At 35.3% G+C, this 26,301-nt stretch overlaps 1 protein-coding gene across 26 annotated transcripts in view; it reads left to right on the forward strand.

Annotated features, from left to right (window-relative positions):
• The window catches only part of DNAH14 (dynein axonemal heavy chain 14), a 469,633-nt gene that overhangs the window by 416,727 nt on the left and 26,605 nt on the right, over positions 1-26,301 (forward strand). For 22 of the 26 annotated variants that reach the window (XM_011544065.3, XM_011544069.3, XM_006711735.4 and 19 more), the window contains 7 exons: positions 76-274; positions 5,267-5,503; positions 7,423-7,508; positions 12,116-12,272; positions 14,301-14,511; positions 18,412-18,514; positions 21,425-21,652. In XM_011544065.3, the coding sequence (XP_011542367.1) occupies positions 76-274; positions 5,267-5,503; positions 7,423-7,508; positions 12,116-12,272; positions 14,301-14,511; positions 18,412-18,514; positions 21,425-21,652 (1,221 nt within the window). Of the gene's footprint in view, positions 1-75; positions 275-5,266; positions 5,504-7,422; positions 7,509-7,743; positions 8,406-12,115; positions 12,273-14,300; positions 14,512-18,411; positions 18,515-21,424; positions 21,653-26,301 lie in introns of those variants that run through there. The other 4 variants (XM_011544062.3, XM_017000296.2, XM_011544067.3 and 1 more) reach the window with 4 other exon arrangements.

A 26,301-nucleotide genomic window follows, 5' to 3' on the forward strand; every position in this document is an offset into this window, starting at 1 on the left:
GTGAGATATTCTTTAGTGTGAATTTTACATGCTTATTTAATCTCACTGGATTAATATGTTATATTTTCCCTATAGGTGGTTTCTTCAGCTCTATTTAATGAAGATAAACTTTGCTTCTCTTTTCGGCTTTGCACTGTAATCATGCAAAACAATGCTAATGGAAATCTAATACAGGATGACATTGGATTCCTACCAGAAGAAGAATGGAACATCTTTTTATATTCTGGCATATTGATAAATATTAAAAGTGCATTATCCCAGTCTAGACTTACTAGTAAGTAAAAGTTACTATTCCGGATTCAGTAAAAGTCCATTAAAAGTGTGTTTCCTTCCTCTAAGGTGCTCCAAGTCAATGCCTCTATAATTGATTAAAGTAAAAGTAGCTTGAGGTCAAGCACCTCCACTGTTACTCAATAATTTTTTAATGAATGAATGAATACATAAATGATAATTACTATGATTATTATAATCCTAACCTACAAAGCAGAATATCTAATGGTAGTCAACAGGAACACACCCAAACATAAACATTGATTGGATACCTTCAGGAGTTAAACCTTCCCCCACACCCCAATTAGAGTTGCCCTCACTTTCTTACGAAAACCTGGTTGAAAATTTGAAACACAAAAAGCATGTTTATCCAAAAAGGTTAGACACAATTATTTAATTATTGAATCTTCTAAATGTTTCTATGTTGTATTTTTAATATGTTTATTGTCTAAACTGTGGTCAAATACATATAACAGAATTTATCATCTCAATTTTTAAGTGACATTAAATACAGTCACGTTGTTATGCTGTGTTGTAAGTTTTAAGTCTGCAAGATGGCAGACTAGGATGCTATAGGCTCCCTTCCTTCACAGAGATACCAAGTTAACAACAATATACAGATCAGAATACCTCTGTGAGAACTCTAGAGATCAGTTGAGAAGCTACAGCATCCAGGCTATTGTAAAACCGAGAAGAGATTCCAGTGAAAGGGGTAGGAAATTTTGCATCATTTGACACATGCCTATTCATGCCTCCCCCTCTTTGTGGTATAATGTGGAACAACTGACAGGAAATCCCCCCATTACAGAGTTCCTCCCTCGGATAGAAACAAAAGAGTAGACAGTGCATCCAGTGTTCTGGCTTGTCTAGGGGCCTCCCAAGGGACTAGTTTTTGTCTTGCCTGACTCAGAATATTGATAAGACTGGCATCAGAGTTTGGAAGCCACTAAAATCCAGATGCAAGCAGCACATTAGACCTGCAGTTTCACAGGGAGAACTTAGGAGGAGCAAGGGATTAGAAAAGGTTAAAAAGGTCTTAGAACCTCCAACTAGGCTGATTGGTGAGGGTTTTCCCCTGCACGAAGCCAATACCAAAGACTGGGAAAAGTGGTCAATTTTTCAAATGCCAATCCTGGAAAAAAAGATACATAAGGCAAACAAAGACACAGGGGGAAATGGCCCAATCAGAGGAACAAAATGAAACTCCAGAAACGAGTCCCACAGAAATGCAGATCTATGGGCTGCCTGACAAGGAATTTTAAATAACTGTCATAAAGTTGCTCAATGAGCTAAAATAAATAAATAAATAACAGAGAACTAAATAAAGTCAGTTAAATGATGCATGAACAAAATGAGAATATCAGCAAAGACATAAAAACTATAAAAAAGAATGAAACAAATTCTGAAGCTGAAAAATGCAAAAACTGAACTGAAAAATTATTACAGGGGTTCAACAGCAGACTTAATCAGACAGAACAAAGAATCAGCAAACTTGAAGACAGGTCATTTGAAATTATCGAGTCAGAAGAGCAAAGAAAATAAAAAATTAAAAAGCAAAGAGATCCTAAGAGACTTATAGGATGCTGTTAAGTTGACCAATATATGCAATATGGCACTCCCAGAAGAAGAAAAAAAGAGAGAAAAGGGTAGAGAAATTCTTTGAAGAAACAATCGCTAAATACTTCCCAAATCTAAGGAAAGAAAAAAACATACAGGTTCAAGAGTTCAAAGAACTCCACTAGGATAAATCCAAAAAGAAACACACCAAGACACATTATAATCAAACTGTCTAAAGTCAAAGACAATGACAGAATCTTGAAAGCAGCAAGAGAAAAGTTATTTGTACATACAAGGGAGCTTCTGTATGATTACCAGTGATTTCTCAGGAAAAACTTTGCAAACTAGAGGGAGTGAGATATATATTCAAAGTGCTAAAAGAAAAAACTCTCAACCAATAATACTGTATGTGTCAAAACTGCCCTTCAAAAATGAAACAAAAATTAAGGTTTCTCAGATAAACAAACATGAGGGAGTTTATTACCACTAGAACTGCTCTACAAGGAATGCTAAAGAAACTCCTTTAAGTTGAAGCAAAAGGATAATACACAGTAACATGAAACCATGTGAAAAATGTAAGGTTCTTCAGAAAAGGTAAATATGTGGATAAAGATAGTAACCTGTACTATTGTAATTTTGGTGAATGTAACTTAAGTTACAAAAACATTTTTTAATCTATAATTATGTTAATGGATATGCAATATATAAAAATGTAACTTGTGACATCAATAACATAAGGGGTGGTGCTAAAGCCCTAAATTAGTAGATTTTGATTTCTTTTTTTGAGACATAGTCTCACTGTCACCCAGGCTAGAATACAGTGATGGGATCATAGCTCACTGTAGCCTCCAACTTCTGGGCTTAAGTGATCCTCTCACCTCACCTCCCAAGTAGCTGGGACTGCAGGCACATGCCACCATACCCAGCTAATTTTTTTAAATTTTTGGTAGAGACGAGGTCTCACTATGTTGCCCAGGCTGGCAGTAGAATTTTTGTATGGGACTGAAGTTAAGTTGTTGTCAGTTTAAAATAGAATGCTATAAAATTAAGATTAAATTATGTAATTGCAATAGTAACCACAAAGAAAATATCTATAGAATATGCACAAAACAAACTGAGAAGGGAATCAAAGTATATCACCACAAAGATCAATAAAATACCGAAAAAGGCAATAAAAGAGGACAGGAAGGGAGAAAGTTACAAGACATACAGAAAACAACAAATGGCAATAGTAATTCCTTCCCTGTGAGTAATTACTTTAAATTTAAATGGATTAAAATCTTCAATAAAAAGGCATAGATTGGCTGAATTAATTTAAAAAACAGTATCCAACTATATGCTGTCTACAGGAGACTCACATCTAAAGAAACATATAGGCTGACAATGCAAGAATGGAGAAAAATATTCCATGCAAGTGGTAACCAAAGAGAGTAGGAGTGGTTGTACTAATATCAGATGAAGTAAACGTGAAATCAAAACTGTTACAAAAGACAAAGACAGACATGAGATAATGATAAAAGGGTCAATTCACCAAGAAGATATGTAGTAATAAATGCTTATTCACTAAACCTCAGAGCTCCCAAATACGTGAAGCAAACTTTGACAAATTGAAGGGAGAAATAAGACAGCGACCCAATAATAGTAGGAGACTTCAGTACCCCATTTTCAATAGCGAATAAAACAATGAAACAGAAGGTCATAAGGAAATAGAGGACTTGCACAACACTATAGATCAACTGGATCAAACAGACATACACAGAACTGTCTTCCCAATAACAGCAGGATATACATTCTTCTTAAGTGCACAAAAACATTCCCCAGATAGACCACATGTTAGACCATAAAACAAGTCTTAACAAATTCAAGAAGTCATACCAAGTGTATTTGCCAAACACAGTGGAATGATACTAGAAATCAACAGAATGAAAACTGAAAAATCCACAAACATGTAGAAATTAACACACTCTTAAACACCCAATAGGTCAAAGACTAAATCACAAGGGAAATTAGAAAATACTTAGAGACAAATGAAAATGTGACATATTAAAACTTAGGGGATACATTGAAAGCAGTGCTAAGATGAAAGTTTATAACTGTAAATACCTACATTAAAAAAGAAGAAAGTGTACTTAAATTTTACCTCAAGAAACTAGAAAAACAACATATTAAACCCAAAGCTAGCAAAAGGATTGAAATAATAAAGACTAAAGCAGTGATAAACAAAATAGAGAATAGAAAAAAAATAAACAAAACTAAAGGTTGGTGTTTTGAAAAGATCAATAAAATTTGCAAACCTTGAGCTCAGTTAACTAAGAAAAAAGAGAGAAGATGCAAAAAATAAAAATCAGGAAAGAAAGGGACGACATTAAAGTAGATGCAGAGAAATAAAAAGATTTCTAAAAGACTACCATGAACAATTGTATGCCAATGAATTGGATAACCTAGAAGTAATGGATAAATTCCTTGTAGTCTACCGAGACTGAATCATGAACAAATAGAAAATCTGAACACACCAATAACAAGGAGATTGAACTGGTAATCAAACACTGCCAAAAAAAAAAGAAAATTTTAGGACCAGATGGCTTCATTGAATTCTACCAAATATTTAAAAATTAACATAAATTTTCCTGAAGCTCTTTCAAAAAATTGAAGAGACAGAAACACTTCCTAACTCATTCTGTGAGGCCAGCATTATTCTGATACTAAAGCCAGACAAAGATACTACAAGTAAACTACAGACCAATATTTCTGAATAACATTGATGCAAAAATCCTCAGCAAAATACTAACAAACCAAATTCAACAGCACATTAAGAGGACTGTACACCATAACCAACTAGAGTTTATTCTCAGTTTCACAACAGTATGAATATATTTAACACTACTGAACTGTACACTTAAGAATGGTTAAGATTGGCTGGGTGCAGTGGCTCATGCCTGTAATCCCAACACTTTGGGAGGTCAAGATTGGGGGCAGATCACTTTAGGCCAGGAGTTTGAGACCAGCCTGGCCAACATGGCAAAAAACACAAAAATTAGCTGGGCATTGTGGCACACACCTATAATCCCAGCTACTTGTGAGGCTGAGGCACAATAATCACTTGGAACCGGGAAGCAAATGTTGCAGTGAGCAGTGATCGTGCCACTGCATTCCATCCTGGGTGACAGAATGAGACTCTGTCTCAAAAAACAAAAACAAAAAAGGTTTACATGATAAATTTACTTATATTTTTACCACAATAAAAACAATTACCTCTTACGTAATTTTTATATAAAGTAGCTTTTTATATTTTATGTAAAATATATTTTTATTTCTATGAAGTAATTTTTATATGAAATAGCCTTAACAGTACATCTTTGTCAAGTATCTACTTTGTAATGAATAACTAAAAGGTAAAGGTTTATCTCTTCTAATGTGATCATCTTTCTTTTTTTATCAGGCACATTTGAAATAGGTGAAAGTCAACATCTTCAGTGGCTGTCAGATTCCAGGTGGAGGCAGTGCCAATATGTCAGCACTCACCTGGAACCATTTTCACTTCTGTGCAAATCCCTTTTATCAAACGTATCACAATGGGATACTTTTAAGAACAGTAAAGCAGTTTATTCTCTGATCAGCACACCTTTCTCTTCAGAAAATGCTTCATTGGAGGAAAATACAAAACCACCAGAGGAAAGTAAGAAAGCATTCAGTGTTTTAACCTAACTTAAGTATGTGTGTATGTGTATGGATTTTCAATTTGTAAATGTCGTACATTATCTTACATTATGAAAAAATTGAAGGGAGGACTATAACTACATTTTCAGCATGCACATGTTATTCATTATAATCCTCATAACAATCCCTGAAAGGATTATAATGAACTTCACGAGAAAATCTGATTAGAAATCAGAATTTCAGAGAGATTAAATACACCACACTAGTTTCATTACACCAGGCTAGTTTTGAACCTTGAATCTGAACAAACCTACATATTTCATTCATTTTAACAAATGTGTGTTTTTAAAATTACATGGGAAAGGATCTTACCTTAAATTCAAATGACTTACTATTTTTAGCACATCTTTTGCTTTTTCTTTTTCCACTTCGAACTCTCCTCCGTTTTTCGCTACTACCTTCACTCATAACACCCCCACTCAGAATACAACCTAATTTGTTTCCTTCCACATTTTTCTCTACTTCACTTCCTGATTTTTGCCAAAATAGACAATTATATTATGCAATAACATAAACATCCTTATACATTTTTCCTTTGCTTTTATTTCTGTAAGATAAATAATCAGAAGTGGAATTGCTGGAACAAAAGGAAATTATTTTTATGTTAACAGTTGCTGCCAAGTTGCTTTCTTGAAAAGTCTATGATAACTTATATTTCCACCAGCAATATGAATGCCCATTTTCCATAGGAGTATTGATTTTTTTTAAATTTTGCCCATCTGTAAAGTTTAAACTCCCATTAGTGTTATAAATAATTTGCTTTTGTCTTATTATATGTATTAACATCTATATTCAAATATTTTTCTGAATTTTTTATTGTCTATTGAATTTGTTTTTATAGTACCTATGCTATATGCGTTTAAATGTTTGTATAGTCAATTATGTCTATTTTCTTCCTTTAAACATTCTTGATTTCAAGTTCTTATTAAGAAGGTCTCCTCCTCCCACAGTTTTCTCTCTTTGAGTCATTATCTTTTTATTTTGTTGCGTTTATCACTAATATATTTGGGACCCATAATTTATTATACTGTAAGAGTCAGTTACTTTTATTTAAAAGAATTCTTTATTGACCCTTTTTGTAAAGTGAAGATCTTTTTATTTTGCAAATAACCCCAAATTATCCATTTATAACTATACCTTCATGTATCATGAACTTTTTTTAAGATCAACACATCAATATTATCTGCATTCAAAAAAGCCGTTTCTATAACCTAATTTGTATTTAAAGTTAGACATTGGGAAAATACCATAGAAATAAGAGGTAAGTAGAAATGATAAGTGTATCTGGGAGAGCTGGAAATGAAGACTAGAAGGCTTCCCACCTTGCAAAAAATTGTAATCCAGTAGGACTCTATTGTGGTGGTAAGAGGGGTCAGTATTAAATATATGTAGGTAGATATAATATTTAATTTTTCAAAAATTTGATAATCTGGTTGCATTTTCATTTGATTCTCATTTCCCATATCGTTATAGCTGGATTATGAATAGAAACCTCCAACCTCTACACTTACTAGTTTACATTCATCAGAAAAACACCACATATACAGGAACAGGTTATGATGTGTTGGCTGGCTATGCCTTTGGCTTCTCATTTTATTTCTTCATCTGTCCATCATCTTGTTATATTACTATTCATTCACCACTTCAGTTGGTCCAAGTTGAAACTTAAATCTATCTTAACATCTCCCTCTTTTGAGGTGTGAAGCATAGCTAGTGATGCCTCAAAGCTTATAGAAATAAAGCTCACTTTAAAAGTCAGCCATGTTTAGAAAAAAAAAAAAGTCACAATTTTATGACAGAAATTTTCATTGTGATATGTTTTAATGATAAAAAGTATTTGACTGTTAATGCCAGTTTCTTTCTCTAAATTATATCTAGCTGAACTTTTGAATGAAAATAAAGAAACGTGTAATCCTATAAATTTTCCCTGGGAGAAACTCACTTCATTTCAAAGACTTATTTTGGTAAGATATCTTATGAGGAAATATTAATATTCTAAATATTTTGAGTGCTTTATTAGTAACTTAAACCCTTCAAAATTAAAATTTTACAAGCAAAGTGTATTTTTAAAGTACATTTCGTGAACGTTAATAGGAGAGGGAAGCACCTACGCCTCCCCTTAATGCTTCTTTCATGTGGAGAGTCCAATGTGAGTAACATTCCTGGAGTCCCTCTGTCCCCTCATTTATTCTCCCCCAGAAAGGAGGACTCATAGCCCTGTCCCTTTTGGGATTTGTCTGCCTATAAAGAACATACTTTCTGCCTGCTTCTCCGTGCCATAAACCATACAGGAACAGACCTTGGTCCTGTAGGGAGAGGCCAATGGCTGACCAGCACTGCTTGTGACAGGTAAGTCTGTCTAATTCTAGGTTCTGTATGAGGAAGCACATTTTTGCCTCATACCTAAACCACATCCACCAACATGACCTTTATTATTAATAAAAGGATATTTTTGCCCAGCACCTCTATTTCTCAATTGTTTCAGAAACTGGCTGAGGGTAGAGGTTGGTGGATTATGGGTATGCATGGGTGTCATTTATGAGCACCCCTAACACATGAAAAGTTTAGTATGTGTTAAGCACTTTACATATATTATTCTATTTAATACTTATAATAGTCTTGGAAGGTAGGCACAATTATTTCCCTCATTTTACAGATTAGGAAACCAAGGCTTATAAATTGCCTAATAAACCAAGGCTTATAAATCTCAGACAGCATGGCTCTCATATCTGTGTTCTTGGTAGTCATACTATATTATACTTTCCAGGCTAGATCATCCTAAATTCATCCTTATTGCCTTAAAAAAATCTTTATTTTGACATTTACTCCCTAATTTAGTGAAGGGAAAATCTCTCATCTCATTTAAATTCCTTAAATTCTTCATTTCCTGAAATTCTTGAAAATGCTAACCTGGACAACCAGTAATCCTTTTGATTTCTGCCTTAAACTTTATTCTTGCAACACTTTAAAAATTCTCTCTATGTAGAGATTGCAAAATATGACTGCATCTGGCTTACAAACATGTTTTATTTGGCCTGAAGTTTTGTTTGGTTTTTTACAACTTTTCAGGTGCAATTTATTACTAATCAAATGGATTTGAACCTATGATCTTGCTTAGAAGACTTCTGTCTTAATTCATTTGGCTTGCTGTAACAAAATAGATTGCTAAAACCCAATAGATTGGGTAATTTATAAACAACGGAAATGTACTGCTCACCACTCTGGAGGCTGGGAGTCTAACATCAAGGACCCAGCAGATTCAGTGGCTGGTGAGGGCTTGCTTCATGGGTGGCATCGTCTTGCTGTGTCCTCACAACAAGAAAGTCTTTCTCTTTTCTTTCTTTTTTTATTTTATTTTTTTAATTAGGTCTCACTCGTCTCACTCTGTCATCCAGGCTGTAGTGCAGTGGTGTGATCACAGCTCACTGCAGCCTGAAACTCCTGCCTCAGCCACCTGAGTAGCTGAGACTACAGGTGTGCATCACCATGACAGGCTAATTTTTTAAGAGATGAAATCTCACTATGTTGCCCAGGTTCCTCAAGACTTCTTTATAAGGGACCTAATCTCACCCCGAGGGCAGAGCCCCCATGACCTAATCCTCTCCTAAGGCTCCACCTCTTAATACTAACACATTGGAGATTAGGTTTCACCATATAAATTTAGAGGAGACACCAGCATTCAGACCATAGCAACTTCCAAGTTTTTAAGCAAAAATAACTAAAATAAATATCAGATTTTTTAAAAAAATATATGTATACATATCTTGAAGTGAGTTGTTTTCTGGGTTTTATTGTGATAAAATATAGATACATTATTTCATTTAATCTTCATAATAATCCCTTTTAACCCTTTAAGCATGCAGTTCAGTGATATTTAGTATATCCACAATGTTGTGTAACTATCATCCCCATCCATTTCCAAAACTTTGTCATCATCTTAAATAGAAATTCTGTACCTGTTAAATAATAACTCCCCAGTCTCTCCTCCTGACGGTTGCTGGCAACCACAATTCTACCTTCTGCCTCCCATCATGCTTATGTCTGGCTTATTTCACATAGCATGATGTTTTCAAAGTTCATCCATGTTGTAGCATGTGTCAGAATTTCCTCCCATTTTAAGGCTGAGTAATATCCCATTGTGTGTATATATCATGTTTCATTTAGCCATTAATCCATTGAGAGACAACAAAGGTTTGTTTCTGCCTTTTGGCTATTGTGAACAATGCTGCTATGATACACACATTTGTTTTTTGTTTTGGTTTGAGTTTGGGTTATTTTTTATTTTTGAGCCAAGATTTGAAAATTGAGAGATTTCAAATAAAAATCCAGATTTCTGGCCTTAGGCAACACTGAGCCCACATTCCTCAATGGCAGCAATAGCTAGAGCTGAGTAGTGTCTGTCCCTTTGGCCCAGTGCACTACAGTCTTCACTGCTCCCTGCTACTTCCTGACACTGAAGTTGAATGTTAGTTGCCATTTGTCATCATATTTGCATCTTTATTTTTCTTTTAGAAGAGGATTTTCTTCTTCTATCCAACCCACTTCTCTAATTTTTGTTATCTATCTGACAACTTCAGACAGATTGATACCTCAACTCTACATGTGGATTATTGACATAGTAGTGACATGAAAATATATTTAAGCTATATTAATTGACAAATACAAAATACTGAATAATCTGTATAGAACAACTTCATTTGTGGAGAAAGGGAGGGACGTGGAGATATGCCTGTATATGTGTTGAAAATATCTAGAAGGAGCCACAAGAAACAATATATCTGGGGAGTAACAATATAAGAAACAACGTATCTAGGGAGTAAGACCTTCACTTTTTCATTTTTACCTTTTTGCATTGCTTGAATTTTATGTAGCAAGGATGAATTACCTGAAAAACAAAAATAACTAGACTTTAAACCCATGCCACATTACCTTCCCCCAATAAGTTCCCAGTGATTTTAGTTTATGAACTAGAAATTTTATGAGTATAGTGATCCTATCTTCCAAACCAGAAGTTGGAAGACATGGTCTGATCAAGTGTTGAGTGTACATATAGGAAAACTAAGTTAGTTATTTAAAACTGAGCCTGACCTGTAAGAGTTAGAAATTGAGATTGTCACATAAAAGATTAAGTTAAAATATATTAGAAAGAAGCTTGCCCTAGAGAAGGAGAATTTCTCAGAGTTCCATGAAGGCAAGGACTTTGCCTAGCTTTTTCACCCCTTGCCACTGCTATAGCCTATTGGACTGAAAAGAGGGGATGAAAGAGGACAATGAAGGAATATAGACATGCAGAAAATTATCAGAATGATTTGTGGTTGCTTAGAAAGGAGCTAGTGAAATTGAATTCAACAGAACTCTGTTTCTTCTACCTTCCCTTTCTCTCCTACCTCTAAAAAAAAAAAATAGTCCTCAAGGTTAAAATTTACAACAGTGGAGAAATGTAACAAAATCTTGATTGATCAATAGAATAAAAGAGGAGCTAATGGCACATTGGTGACAAAAAAATTATGTTGACCATTTGGGAGCATAGATTGTCTGCAGTGATGGTATCGGGGAAACACCTAATCATTTGTTTCACTCAACGATTCTAACACTGTCTCACTAACTGGGTATTCTAAGTGAACTCTGCTATTAGACCTAGAGTCTTTGTGTGCTGCCTCTTTTCATTTTTAAAAATATAATTAAAAGAAAATTTTAAGAATAATTTTTCCAAAACATAACAGAAAAGAGCAGAATTCAGCATAATGATTAAATGTGCTGTGTTAAACATATTGCCAATATTTGACAGTTTTTGAAAGGTAAAAATGGCAACTTCCCATGGTCCAACCTGGTACATCAAACAGGCACACTGACGTGTGTAGCTTCAGTTTTGCTTTAAATGATGGAGTCCCAGATGTTGAACATGTTCAGGACATATTTTATGGTCATTGTGTAGACAAATATCATGTAAGTGATTTGTATAAAACAGTTTTTATGGGAAAGGTCTTTCCTCTGAAATTTTCAATGATTTCCAGTATACCCTGAACCTCTGTTTACTATGCATTTATACTGTTTCCAAAATCTTTTAGTCCATCTAGCATTCTTTTCAGATTTGTATTCTAATTGCTTAAACATATAAAGATTGTGCCATTTGTTTTCATTTTATTAATGGAAGAATTAATACTTTTCCAGTTGTGTCATCCTGTATTTTCATCCCTCCAACACCATGGGGTTTTCTTGCTCTAGACATGTATAGCAGAGCAGGAAGAAAACCGAGGGGAAAAAATTTCTTTTTGCAGAATTAGGGAGTATAACTTGGATCTTTACAAACAAAGCAAGAGCTCACTCAGAGTGTGAAAGACATAGAGGCACAGGTAGCGCTGGTATCTAAGAAGGGCCACATGATGGCCACAGGAACATGGTGGCGGTTTCTCCTCCATGCATAGTCTGTCCCATTAAGCTTCCTCAACAGGAAAACTCTGGCTGAAAAGCTAAAAAATGAATACTTCTTATTTTTGTTTCATTTTACCATAGGGAATATCTCTCTGGGTGGCTTTTAATTTTACCTTATCTTCCATGTTTTCTTTTTTAGGTAAAAGTTCTTAGACCAGAAAGTTTAAACAATTCAGTGAGAAAGTTTATAACTGAAAAAATGGGAAATAAGTATCTTCAAAGAACTGGAGTTAATTTGAAAGATGCATATAAAGGATCCAATGCCAGAACTCCGCTGATACTTATTCAAACTCATGGTAAGCTATTTGTGAATAGTTAAGATGATCGATATGGTTTGGCTCTGTGTCCCCACCCAAATCTTACCTTGAATTGTAATCCCCATAATCCCCACATGTCAAGGGCGAGACCAGGTAGAGGTAATTGGATCATGGGGATGGTTCCCCCCATGCTGTTCTCATGATAGTGAGTGAGTCTCTTGAGATCTGATGATTTTATAAGCACCTGGCATTTCCCCTCCTGGCACTCACTACGTCCTGCCACCCTGCAAAGAAGGTGCCTGCTTCTCCTTTGCCTTCTGCCATGATTGTAAGTTTCCTAAAGTTTGTAAAGATCCATGCAGAACTGCGAGCGAATTAAACCTACTTACTTTTTAAATTACTCAGTCTCAGGTATTTCTTCATAGCAGTGTGAGAACAGACTAATACAATGATGATACAATATCAGCCAAGAGATATGGAGAAGTAGGTTCTGTGTCAGATTATTCTGTGTTTAAAATATTTTCCTAGTCCTATTTAAAATTTTTGGAAAAGGAGCTAATTACAACTTTATACTAAGAATAAATCTCTCTAAAGATACAACAAAGAGGAATAAAACCTCTCAGATTCACAAATGAAAAATTTATCAATGGTGATTTTCTGCACAGAAAATACCTTGCAAACACATACTGTTGCTCTGGAAGTTGGACTCGCCCTTATGTCTATGTCTATGCACGTGTTTAATAAACACTGACTTGTGCAAAAATATGTTACAAAATAAACTATCAAAAATTGTCCCTGCTCTCCAGCCCTTGTATTCCTCAAAACTCCAAATGCTTTTTTTTGTTTTTCTTGTCTTTGCACTACAGATCCGAAGTAAAATATTTTCTCCCAAGCAAAATATTTTCTTCATTTATCTTCTGTTCCAAAAATCAAATGTGTCTTTAGAATTCATCATTTCAAACTTTGATTTTATTACATAAAACCTTATCTGGAGTGCCTCCACCTGGAGGCTTCTCACCTGGAATGTTTCCATGCAAAGCACTTGGCTAGATGCCTGACACACTCATAGTAGGTACTATCCATTTCTTGAAGACTTAGCCCATGATGGTGGCTAGGGCTCTAGCCATCATATTCACGTTCCAAACAACAGAATGGAAGCAAGGAAGAAAGGCACACATCCTCCCTTTAAGGAGATATCCAAAGTATTATACAACACTTTTATTTTAGTTTAATTTTGTTTCATTTTAAGTTCCAGGATACATGTGCAGGATGTGCAGGTTTGTTACATAGGGTAAACATGTGTCATGGTGATTTGCTGCAACTATCAACCCATCACCTAGGTATTAAGCCCCACATGCGTTAGCATTTATCCTGATGCTCTCCCTCCCTACAACCTCCAACAGGCCCCAGTATGTGTTGTTCCCCCCACGTTTGTCCATGTGTTCTCATTGCTCAGTTCCCACTTATAGGTGAGAACACGTAGTGTTTGGTTTTCTGTTCCTGTGTTAGTTTGCTGAGATAGTGGCTTCCATCTCCACCCATGTCTCTGCAAAGGAAATTATCTCATTCCTTTCTATGATTGCATAGTGTTCAATGGTATATATGCACCACATTTTCTTTATCTAGTCTATCATTGATGGGCATTTGGGTTGATTCCATTTCTTTGCTATTGAGTATTACACAACACTTTTGCTAACAAAATTTTGCTGCCAAAATCTATCACAAAACCTAGATGCCCACAGAAGTTAAAAATGTAGTATTTTAGCTGAGTATACAGCCATCTCGAACAACACTGGGGTACAGCTACAGAGGAGGAAAGGACAGGTAGATGTCGGAGAAGACAACCAGCAGGTGCTGCTGTCGTTAGATATTGTTATCATCCTCGTGTGTTAGGCTAGTAAGTGGCAGGACCAAAATTTAAACTCTGGGCTCTAATTTCAAAACCTGTAGTCTTTCCGCTATGACTATACCTTTTCCCAACACTACTCAATAAATGCTGGATTGTGATTTTTAAAAGGGAATTAAATGAGCTTACAGTTTTATATACCTCTCCACGTTGTTATACAGGGATCGACCTTACCAATATCCTCCTGAGATTTGCACAAGAGTTAAAAGGAACAACACATCATGTGACCATAATTTCTCTGGGCCGTGACCAAGCAGCTAAAGCTGAAGACCTCATTTTAAAGGCACTAACAAAAACACAACAATGGGTCTTCCTCCAGAACTGCCATCTTGCAACATCATTTATGCCAAGGCTTTGCACAATTGTAGAATCGTAAGAGTTTTACATTTATCTGTAAGGGATCAGATTGGTTACCAAAACTATAAAGTAAAACTGGAAATGTCAATGTATACTGTGTGTAAACAATAGCAAAATAATGTGCTGAGCCACTCAGATGAAACTTAACCTATCTTATATTGGTTTTCTTTTCTCCAGGAACTTGAAAACTACACTAAGAATACATCAGTTTTTATCTTTTTAAGGCCTCTTCAGTTTTTGTTCTCTGTCTTGTTTATCACTTTCTTTCCTCAAACTCTTACTCTCAATAGATATATAAGCATACACACACATTATATGCACTGATGGATACATAGTTTTTAATATTCGATGTGATTCCAAACAGCAGAGCATAATACCTCATATCTATCCTTTTGGTGATGATTCATTTTATGGCCTTTGCTTAGTATCTATTCTGACTTTCTCTAGCTCAAAATACTTTTCTAGGCTGTACCTCCCAAAGCACTTAGTCACTCATGCAGAAATTTTTATACATTCAGCTTTCTTGTTTGCAGTGGAAGCATTTGAAAGTTTATTGCTGTAATTTGAGTGAAGAATTAGCAATGTGTTGAATCAATGATGTTTCAACCAATTACATTCTATAGTTTTTCTCCAGCCTTGGTTTTCTTTCTTCTTTACTTTTCATGGCCAATATCCTGTGGTAAAATTGTTTAAATGAGAGTCTGTCTCTTCATGCTGTTATTTTTATTTTTATGCTTTGAGCATGCACAAGGAAATTATAAAACCAAAATGCAACTGCATGACTTAAATTTCTAAAAACTTTCCTGATGTCACTCATGAGTTATCAGATTGTTATTATTTTAGCAGTTTAAAAACTATACCAGCGGGGCACAGTGGCTCACGCCTATAGTCCCAATGCTTTGGGGAGCCAAGGCAAGATAACTGTTTGGGGCCAGGAGTTCGAGACCAGCCTGGGCAACAGAGTGAACCCCATCTCTACAACAATCAATCAATCAATCAATCAATACTATTATATAATTTCTCTTTTTCACATTTATTTCATGACTTAAGAGAATCAGAAGACAAAGATTGCTTAGTTACATGACTTTAATAGATATAAACTTTCAAATTATTATTTCTGCCATGTCTTTCATTCATTATTCATCCAAAAACTATTTATAGGGCATCTGCTATTTGTCAAGTATTGTGCTAGGCACAGGGGACACACCACGGACCAGGCAAACACTGTAGCAGCTTTCCAGAGGATACTAAGGTGAAAAGAGCCAATAGTATGGCAGGTTAACACTGTGCTAATAAAAAAAAGAAATTAGAGAAACATTCCTTAGAACAGAATTTCAGTCTTAATAAGAGTAATTAATGATACATTAAAAATATTCAACATAATCAGAGTATTATTAAAAGAAATTCGTACTTCCGGGCCGGGCGCGGTGGCTCACACCTGTAATCCCAGCACTTTGGGAGGCCAAGGCAGGCAGATCACCTGAAGTCAGGCGTCTGAGACCAGCCTGGCCAACATGGTGAAACCCCGTCTCTACTAAAAATACAAAAATTAGCCGGGCGTGGTGGCACACGCCTGTAGTCCCAGCTACTCAGGAGGCTGAGGCAGGAGAATCGCTTGATCCCGGGAGGTGGAGGTTGCAGTGAGCTGAGATTGTGCCACTGCACTCCAGCCTGGGCAACTGAGGAAGACTCAGTCTCAAAAAAAAAAAAAAATGCTCAGCATCACTAATCATTAGGGAAATGCAAACTAAAACCATAGTGATCTAGCCAAAGTCCAGCCTATTAAAAAACAAAATGAAATATCACCTCCAAAAGGCTACTATCAAAAAAAAGAAAAAGAAATTCATACTTCTTTATTAAATCAAGCCTTTAGATATTTAAGATGACCACTCTACCAGTCCACAGTAGGAGAGGAAAATGTGAAGAAAAAAACATTTCTTAAGAGTTAGTGATATATGTTCACAACATATTGCTAGGAGAAAAAATAAAAAGCTACAAACAAAATATGCAGCATAATTATTTTTAAAATGAGAGACAGAGAGAGGCAGAAGGAGGAAAAAACAAAAGAGAAAAGTGTACCTAAACTCATTTAGTGGGATTACAGGCCATATTTGCTTTCTGTTTCATTTTGTATTGTGTTTTTTTTTCCTTGTAATGATTTGGTTTGTTTTGCAAATTTTTTAAAAATAATTTCACACTTGCAGAGAAGTTGCAAGAACAGTACAAAAACTCCCTTATACCCTTCATCTCTATCTCCAAATTCTTAACATTTACCCTATCATTTCTCTCATATATATGTAATATTTTTCTGAATCATTTGGAAGTAAATTGCAGACATGTTGCCACTTGACCCCTAAATAGTTCAGTGTTCATTGTTGATTATTTACTCATGTTTAGTTTATTGTCCCAATAATATCTTTTATATCAAAATAGAATAAAAGTTTTGGCCAAAGTTTCAATTCAAGATTTCTCATTGTATTAAGTTTTCATGTCTCTTAAGTCTCCTGATAAGTATTTTATTTGTTTGTTGTCTGTTTATTTAGAGGTGAGGTCTCGCTATGTTGCCCTAGCTGAACTTGAATTCCTGGGCTCAAGTGATCCCCTTGCCCTAACCACCCAGGTAGCTGGAACTATGGGTGCATGCCACCATACCCTAAATCTCCTTTAATCTATAATAGTTCCTCAGTCTGCCTTTGTCTTTCGTAACTTTGATATTTTTGAAAAGTACAAGCTAGTTACAGTGGTCCCTGACTATCCACAGGGGATTGGTTCCAGGACCCCCTGTGGATACTGGAATTCTTGGATATTCGATTCCCTTATATCAAGTGGTGCAGTATTTGCCTATAATCTACACACATCCTGCTGTATAATTTAACTCATGTCTAGATTACTTATAATACCTAATACATAGTAAATGCTGTGTAAATTGTTATTAATCTGTATTGTTTAGGAAATAATTACAAAGAAAAAAGTCTGTATAGGTTCAGTACAGATGCAGACATTGTAGGCCTAACTACCTAGTACGAGTCAGCAATACCTTAACATTTTCTGAAATTTTTTTTCCTGAATATTTTCAATGTGAGGCTGGTTGAATCCATGGATGTGGAACCTATGGATATAGAGGGCTGACTGTATTTTGTAAAGTGTCCCTCAATTGGGTTTTAGCTGATATTTTCTTACGGTTAGATTAAGGCTATGCAGTATTGTAGTAATATCATTGAAGTAATGTTATCTCATTCTTGGTACATCATATCAAGAGGCCTGTGATATCAATCTGTCTCATTACTGGTGATATTAACTTTGGTCACTTGGTTAAAGTGGTTTCTGCCACTTGTGGGAACTTTCAGACCATGTACAGACATTAAACTTTCACCTACTGGTTTTTAAAGTTCATTGATAATTTTTGACTGAATTACTACTATATTGTTTACCAAAAGGTAGCTTTCTAACTCCACAACTTCTTCTAAATTTATTTAATGATGTTCTCCTATACAGGAAGAGCTTTTCTTTCTCTTCCCTCTATTTATTTATTTATATCAGTATGGTCTCATGGATTTCTATTTTATTCAAGGATTATAATTGTTTACCGTCATCATTTATTTTGACATTCAATTGTCCCAAATTCAATCAGTAGAACTCTTCATTTTGTTCTTAATTTGTAATTATTTCCAGATTTTTTGCAATGAGTATATGATCACTTTTTGTACTTAGGGGAAAGAAAGCTACTCTTAAAATGTAACTGATGGGTCGTGTGCAAATTCTTGCGCAACATGGAAGCTCTTCTGATAATACAGTAAGATCTTCAGTATTAAAATGATTCGTAAGGCCACTTCAAACAGTGAAATGCTATGATTCTAAAAACATGTTGGTTTACATTTTTCACATTAAAATATTTATAAATTTTTTATTTTGCAGTTTTAATAGTCCAAACGTGACAATAGACCCTGAGTTTCGGCTATGGTTAAGCTCAAAATCATACAGTTCTTTTCCAATTCCTGTTCTTAAAAAGGGTTTAAAGGTAAGAACAAAGTATAACAGATTTAATGTTGACTGAGGAGCCCTGTTTGAATGCAAGTCATCTTACATTCAAAACTCTGAGTTTAAAAGAGAAAGCTAATTCTGATAAATTCTGAAATGCTAAATTTCTGCTTTGTGCTCAACCCTATACTGGGGATGAGGAAGAACACTAAAGTAGATTCCTACTTACAAGGAATTCACAATTTATATGTTATTTGCTCAAACAAGGATGTTAGACCTCCAATTATTATAAAGCAAAATTTACAATTTGTGTTGTTTTCCTGCCCTTCACTTCTCTAGCATTTCTTATTTCTGCCCTACTTAACCGTTTTATTATTAATTCTCTAGAAAGGGTCTGACAGAAAGCAGGCTAAAACTGTTTACTAAAAAGTCCTCATTAAAGATTATCTGGGACTTCTCATATCCACTATTGAGGCTGAATAAATAGTAAGACAGTCAATTCTATTAGACCAGGGTCCAGTTGACCAAAAGGTGGGGTCCTAACAGCAGAGAAAACTGACCGATGGCATAGGCAGAAGGGGGTACCCAGACTCCCGATCACGTGCACACTACCAGCTTTCACAGAAGTGGGTGGGCATGGAGAAAATCAGGTGGATGAGGCACTTTCCAGATACAGCCCCAATCCAGCCTAAGAAACTTCCTGCCACACTGCTTCTCAGCTCTGCCCGTCTCCTGTATGTATCTACCCAAACTGACAGTACTGAGCCATTTCCCAACATCCCGGTTCCTGGGGCAGACAGAACAGGGACTGGAGAAACCCACAACTCTTAGTCTGAGACTCGAAAGATTCCACTTGTCTCCCAGAGAGCAGCAGACCATGCTCTCAGACAGCCTTTAATCTTTGGTCAGGAGAGGGGAATTGGGGGGTGGAGGTACTGGGGGTAGGGGAATGAAGGGTGTCAGAGAGGGACAGAAATAGCGCTTCAGGGAATATTTCATCTTAAGTAGTCCATCGCTCCACCTCCACTTTAAGTCTCCATCAGCATTTTAAATGTGGCTATAATTAGTGCATACATAAAACTTTATGGGAGTTTTTCATATGCCATTATTTATACAGACAGAGATGATAATTTTCTTGATATATTAAAAGAGCACCTACACATAAGTCAGAAAAACATTAACATTCCATACAAAATGGGCAAAGGACACAAGAGGTCAATAAACACATTTTAAAAATAAAAGTTCAGCCTCTAGATATCAGAAAAATACAAATCAAAAACTGCATTAAATTGGCTAAGACTATAACTATGATATAGTTAGTGCTATTAAGGATATAATGAAATAACTACTCTCACATAATGCTGACAAGGTAATATCAGGGAGATATTAATCCAGAAAGGAAGGTAATTTCACAGTATAGAGATAGTGTTTATAAATTTCATACAATTTGATCATGGCCCACTTCTAGGAAAAGGCCAAATAAATTATGATGTATTTGTGTGATAAAATAGTATGCTATCACTAAAAATCAAAATTAACACACACTCTCTCTTCTCTCTCTCTCTGCCCTCCTTCCACTCACTTTCCCCTTCAGATATAGTTCTGAAGGCGGACAGACACCTACTTTTAGAGATATGAGAATGAGTTCTTTAAAGAATCAGTCATAGCAGTCGGGAAACAGTGCTCGATAAATATTTTCTCATTTCTCCACAATTAGGGCTAAGCAACAATTGCTGGCAACCTGAATTAAAGGATGTTTGAAAGGCAGACATGCCTTGGAAAATAGAGAATATGTCCTCTACTGTGCACAGAGCCATTTGCTCACATTCTAAGGGTGACAGAGTCAGAGAAGCTTGTCTTCCATCTCCTGGAGCCACTTACCTTCTCAGGGTGATAAAACTTAGAGCCATTTGCTTACACTCCAGGGGTTGTAAAAACCTAGAGACCTCCTCTTTTCCCCGAGAAGATTTGTTTACATTCCAAAGCAAAAGTCTGTCTCTCTTTCTCTATCTCTGAAAAGAGGAAAGGCTGCTTTGCCAGCCATTCTGTAAGCTCCAAGTTTCATAATTTGAGTCCTCCTCTTATGGTACAAATCCCACTATACACACACAGGACATGGGAATCTGATCCCTGATCCAAAAGTCTCATGTTCATACACACACACACACACACACACACACACACACACACAGCTCTATGCCATATATACATATATACATACATTTATATATCATATATAGATACCCACACAACTTATGTAAGTGTGTGTGTTTATATATATAAACTGTGCAAGGAGGGTAATATTTCAGACCCTTCACAATTTCAGACTTAACAGCCACACTCTCAAAAAAGCCCTCCAGTTGATTCCCTCCCCACCTCACCCTCAGTCTCGCATCATTTCCATTATTCTAGTTAAGAAGTCAACCAAATGGACTTTCAATGCAATCAAAGAAATTTTGTAACACACCCAGTTAATTGTTCTCCTTCTGATGGTTCAGTTAGTGCTGAAGCTGCTGTTGATTCAGTTTGTGCTGTTTCCCATGATGTGGGACCCTCTGTATCTGCTACCTCGCAGAGGCCATGCAGCCTGGGTCCTGTTACAGCCTCATAACTGCCATTGACACTAAGTTTAGGCTCTCATAACTCTTCATTGTCAAAGTTCCTAAAATCCCAAGCCCTATGCTCTGAGCAAATAAGAGTGCTTTTAATCACAACATTATACTTCCCATTTCAAAATATGAATCGGAACAATAGAAAATCTGGGACAATCCTTTTAGAGACGTTTTTACATGGCAAAAGAATAACATGAGATTTTGGATTTGCCAGTGAATCTTGAAAATAGTTACATTCTTGCCCAGTTCTTTTACCAGTGTTGTAGAAAGACAAGTGCCCTGAAGACCAGTGCCTGCATCTGTCCTCACATGCCATTTTACTCACATCTGTTTTCAAGATTGCCGTGGAATCTCCCCAGGGATTGAAAAGTAACTTACTTCAGACATTTGGATGTACTGGGAGTGGAGAGGTAACAGAAGAGATATTTGAAAATCCTGACTGTGGACAATGGTGGAAAAAACTTTTATTTAGCCTATGTTTTTTCAATGCTGTAATCAATGAAAGAAAAAATTACGGAATATTGGGCTGGAATATTGCTTATAAATTTAATTCTTCAGACTTGGGGGTAAGTGTAGTCTCTTCAAACAAACAACAAATAAGTAACAATAAGATACAAATTGAGAGCCTACTATGTGCCTACACAAATGTGAGTGTTTTACATGGTGGTAAGAAAATGAACTCTATAACTAGGCAATAAGGGCTAACGTTTAGAAACATGGTCTTTGATGCCAGCTTTTCTGGAATCAATTTGCAGCTCCACCACTTATAGCTGTATAAGTACGTAATCTATTGGGCAAACTAACCTCTCAGAGTCTTAGTTTCCTTGGCCAAAGAAAGCAAACTGAGGGAGACCAAATGTCAGTACTGACTCCAGAGGATCATTATGTAATTATAGGCAAACTTGTTAATGTAAGTAAACCACTTAGAAGAGTGCCTGACAGACATAACTTAGTATAAAAATGTTTGTTTGTTGGTACGACTTATTCATTAAAAGCAAGAGAGATTCCATTGACCCATTGTGTGGGGAAAAGTTTAGCTCAGTGGTCTTCCTTTACTATTCTCTATATAGAACCTTCTATTTGTGCTTTATTGCAGGGTGTTTTCTTTATTGCTAAATTAAACACGTGGTAGCATCTGCTTAAGTTTTTCCCGGGTTAATTTTCTTGCAATTGTGCTTCCAGCGTACAACATTACACCCTTGATTACCCATTCATTTATATAATACAACAATTTAAAAAAAAAACTTTCTGAGGAAAATCTTGATTCTGCCTCTGGGTATCTATAACCTAGACCCACTCTAGATGGGTAGCCTTCTATGTCTTCTATATGTTTCCATTAGGCTTTTCAGTTTTGAAAAGAGGCTGTCATACTTACTGCAAGCTCAACTGCCTATCAGATGTAATACTTCTGTACCTAACCAGGAACATAACATAAAACACTGCATTTGGGATATTTATTTAAAAGTATAAGCTCAAGTACGCTTCTGTCAAGGCCTTATTCAAAGCTCAATCAAAAGGCAGATAATATATTAGGGGGAAATATTTGAACCATATATTAGACATGTTGGTGTCTAATGTAAATAATTGATATTTTTATTTAAATCAGAAAATGAATTCAAAGAAAATAAAAGTCACCTTTAATAGAAACAGTATAATGTCTAAATTAACAAAGAAAAAAAGAAAATAAATAACAATTTGATCAAGATATCAAAATAAAAGGGAGAGAAAAAACAAAGCAAAATAAATAATAACGTAAAGCAATATGGAAGGAATGTTATCAGTCATTTATTAAGTGTAAATGGATGCATTCTCTCAATAAAAGGCAAGACTATTAAATTGGGTTACAAAACAAAACCCAGAAATGTGCAATTTATACGAAAAAGTGAAATTAATGAAGAAATTTTGAAATTATCAAGAAAATAAAAAAGAAGAAAGCAGAAATGGCAATATTAATATTAGTCAGAATGTAATGACTGAGAGTGCTATATTCTTCAGACAACAGCATATTGTAGCATATATATATATATATATACACACATGTATATATACACTGGTATACATGTACATATATATGTATATATGTATATGCAATTATTGTGGGAAATTTCAAAAAACCTCCATCAGGATTGGACAGCTCTAATAAACAAATATAAGATGAATAGAATAATGTAGTCAACAAATTTGATTAACAGATAGATCGAGAGACTAACATCCCTCTAATAAAAAGTACATATTTTTTCAGGTATCCAAGGAACTGTTACACAACTCAGTCATGAGCATGGCCACAAAGAAAAACCTTTAATGATTTTATGGGCCACGTTATCTGAACACAATTTAATATAATAAAAATTTGACCCCTAAAAATCTAAACAACTTGGATATTAAGAAACATAACTCTAGATAACCTTTTATCAAATAGGATATTAAAAGGGAAATCAGCCAGGCTCGGTGGCTCACAGCTGTAATCTCAGCACTTTGGGAGGGTAAGGTGGGCGGATCACCTGAGGTCAGGAGTTCAAGACCAGCCTGGCCAACATGATGAAACCTGCACGGTGGCTCACGCCCATAATCCCAGCACTTTGGGAGGCCGAGGCAGTTGGATCACCTAAGGTCGGGAGTTAGAGACCAGCCTGACCAACGAGGAGTAACCCCATCTCTACTGAAAACAAAAATTAGCCTGGCGTGGTGGCACATGCCTATAATCCCAGCTACTCAGGAGGCAGGAGAGTTGCTTGAACCCGGGAGGTGGAGGTTGCAGTGAGCTGAGATCACAGCACTTCACTCCAGCCTGGGTGACAGAATGAAACTCCATCTCAAAAACAAAAAACAAACAAACAAAAAAAACACGGGAAATCACAGCCTGTGCAATATAGAAAGCCCTGTCTGTATAAAAAGTAAAATATATATATATATAGCCAGGTGGCACGCCTGTACTCCCAGCCACTCGGGAGGCTGAGGCAGGAGGATCACTTGACCCCAGGAGGTTGAGGCTGCAGTAAGCTGTGCTTGGGCCACTGCACTCCAGCCTGGGTGACAGAGTGACACCCTGTCTCAAAAAATAAAAATAAATAAAATCACAAATATCTCAAAAACAATGGAAATGAGACTACTTCATACCAAAAATTACAAGACAGAACAAAAGCTATACTTAGGAAATAAAAGACTGGCCTTAAATGTCTCCAGTATTAAAGAAAACATACAGGAAATAAATATCCATCTTAAGAAATTAGAAAACAAAAGAAAATAAAAGCTAATAAAGGAATTCTTTATTAGCTGGAGTAATAATACAAAAGCTAATATTAATGAAATATACAAAAAACCGTAAAAGGAAAAATACATTTTAAAATTGGATTTTTAAAATTCTTTTCATATATTTTTTAAAGCTTACAGCTATAAAAAATTGGATTTTGATAAGACAAATAAAATTTGAAAATCTAGATGAAGCCAATGATTACTTAGAAAATATGAATTATCAAAATTGACTCAAAGAGACATGGAAATTTTGGGTAGGCCAATTGCCACAAAAGGCATTGCAAATGACACCAGAATGAGATGGTTTTACAGCTTAATTCACTCTGAACGTTAAGAAACAGATAGTATTAATATTATATATTCTAGACCTTAGTAAAAGATCACAATCTCCCTAGTGTATTTTATGAAACCAGCATAGTTTTAATATGAATACCTGAATAATATACATAAGAACTGTAGATTAATTTCACTCAGGATTTGAGATGTAAAAATTCTACATAAAATATAAATGGATCTCAGCAATGAAACAAAAGAATAATACACTGTAACCAAGTTGGGTTTATTCCAGTAATGCAAGAATGACCCAGTAACTGGAAATTTATAATCCTAATTTATATGATCATCTCAATAGATGTAGAAGAGGCATTTGTTATGAATTTTGGAGCCATTTCTAGTAAAAACCTAAAGTAATAGGATTAAAAGGAACCACTTAAATATGAAAAAGACTATCTAAAAATAACAATGAATGTTATTCCACATAGTCAAACACTGAAATTGTTTCAAATAAAATCAAGAATTAGATAAGGATGCCCATTATCACCACTGTCATTCAACAGTGTCTTAGAATTTCTAGTAAATTCAATGAGATAAAATTATAATAATTCATATTAACATTGTAAAAAGAGAAAAAACTTTTTGTTGATTATATAATTGTACGTCTAGAAAACCTGAGATACTAGTAAAACAAAATCTAGTAATTAGAGAATTTTGTAAAGTAACTGGATAAAAATGTAAAGATGTAAAGAGCAATAAAGCCTCCCTGGTAGTAAACACCCGGGAATGGAAGTAGGCAAAACCGTACTTTCACAGCAGTGATGAAAAAATTTAAATACTCAGGAACAAATTTAACAAGAAACATATGGGTCCTAAATAAAGAATAGCATAAATTAGGGAGAAAAGAGTCATAACATTTGTTGAGAGCTTAAAATATTTGGATTGCTTTATCTAAATTATTTAATTCCCACAACAACATTATGAGGTAAGGACACTAATTATCCTCATTTTACAGATAGGGAAATAGAGGCACAGTACACCTAAGAAACTTGCCCAGGTTACATAGGTAATAAGTGGAGGTCCGATTCCACAGTTCGTTTTTTTAATCCTGCCTCCCCTAAATAAATGCATCCATGTTCTTTATGGGAAGGCTTCCCATATCATAACTATCAATTCTTCCAAAATTAATAATCAGATATAATGCAGTTCCAATTAAAATCCTATTAGAGAAGTTTCAGAATTAATAAAATTCATATGGAAGAACAGATGCTGAAGAATAAGCTAGGAATGTACAAAAAAGAAAAATCCTGAAAGGGTCCTCCTTCACCAGATATCAAAACATGGTAAAAATCCACTATACTAAAATCAATATTGTTTGGCAGAGAAGTAGACAATAAATCGGTGGGACATAGTTGAGGGTGCAAAAATCTAAGTTTTTATGAGATTTTAATATTTGACACAGGTAATATTTCAACTGAGGAAAAAGGGATTTTCAAAAAGTAAATGATACTGGCACAACTGGCCATCCAGCTGGAAGAAAAGTACTAGTTCCTTTATCTTATATCCTATATAAAAATAAATTCCCGAATGGAATAAAATTTAAATGTATAACAATACAAATAACCAAAATAAATCTAGGAGATTACATGTACAATCTTGGAGTTGGGAACAAGTAACCCGAATTGAAAAC

The sequence above is a fragment of the Homo sapiens genome, chromosome 1, assembly GCF_000001405.40.
Source record: "Homo sapiens chromosome 1, GRCh38.p14 Primary Assembly".
Classification (NCBI taxonomy): domain Eukaryota; kingdom Metazoa; phylum Chordata; class Mammalia; order Primates; family Hominidae; genus Homo; species Homo sapiens.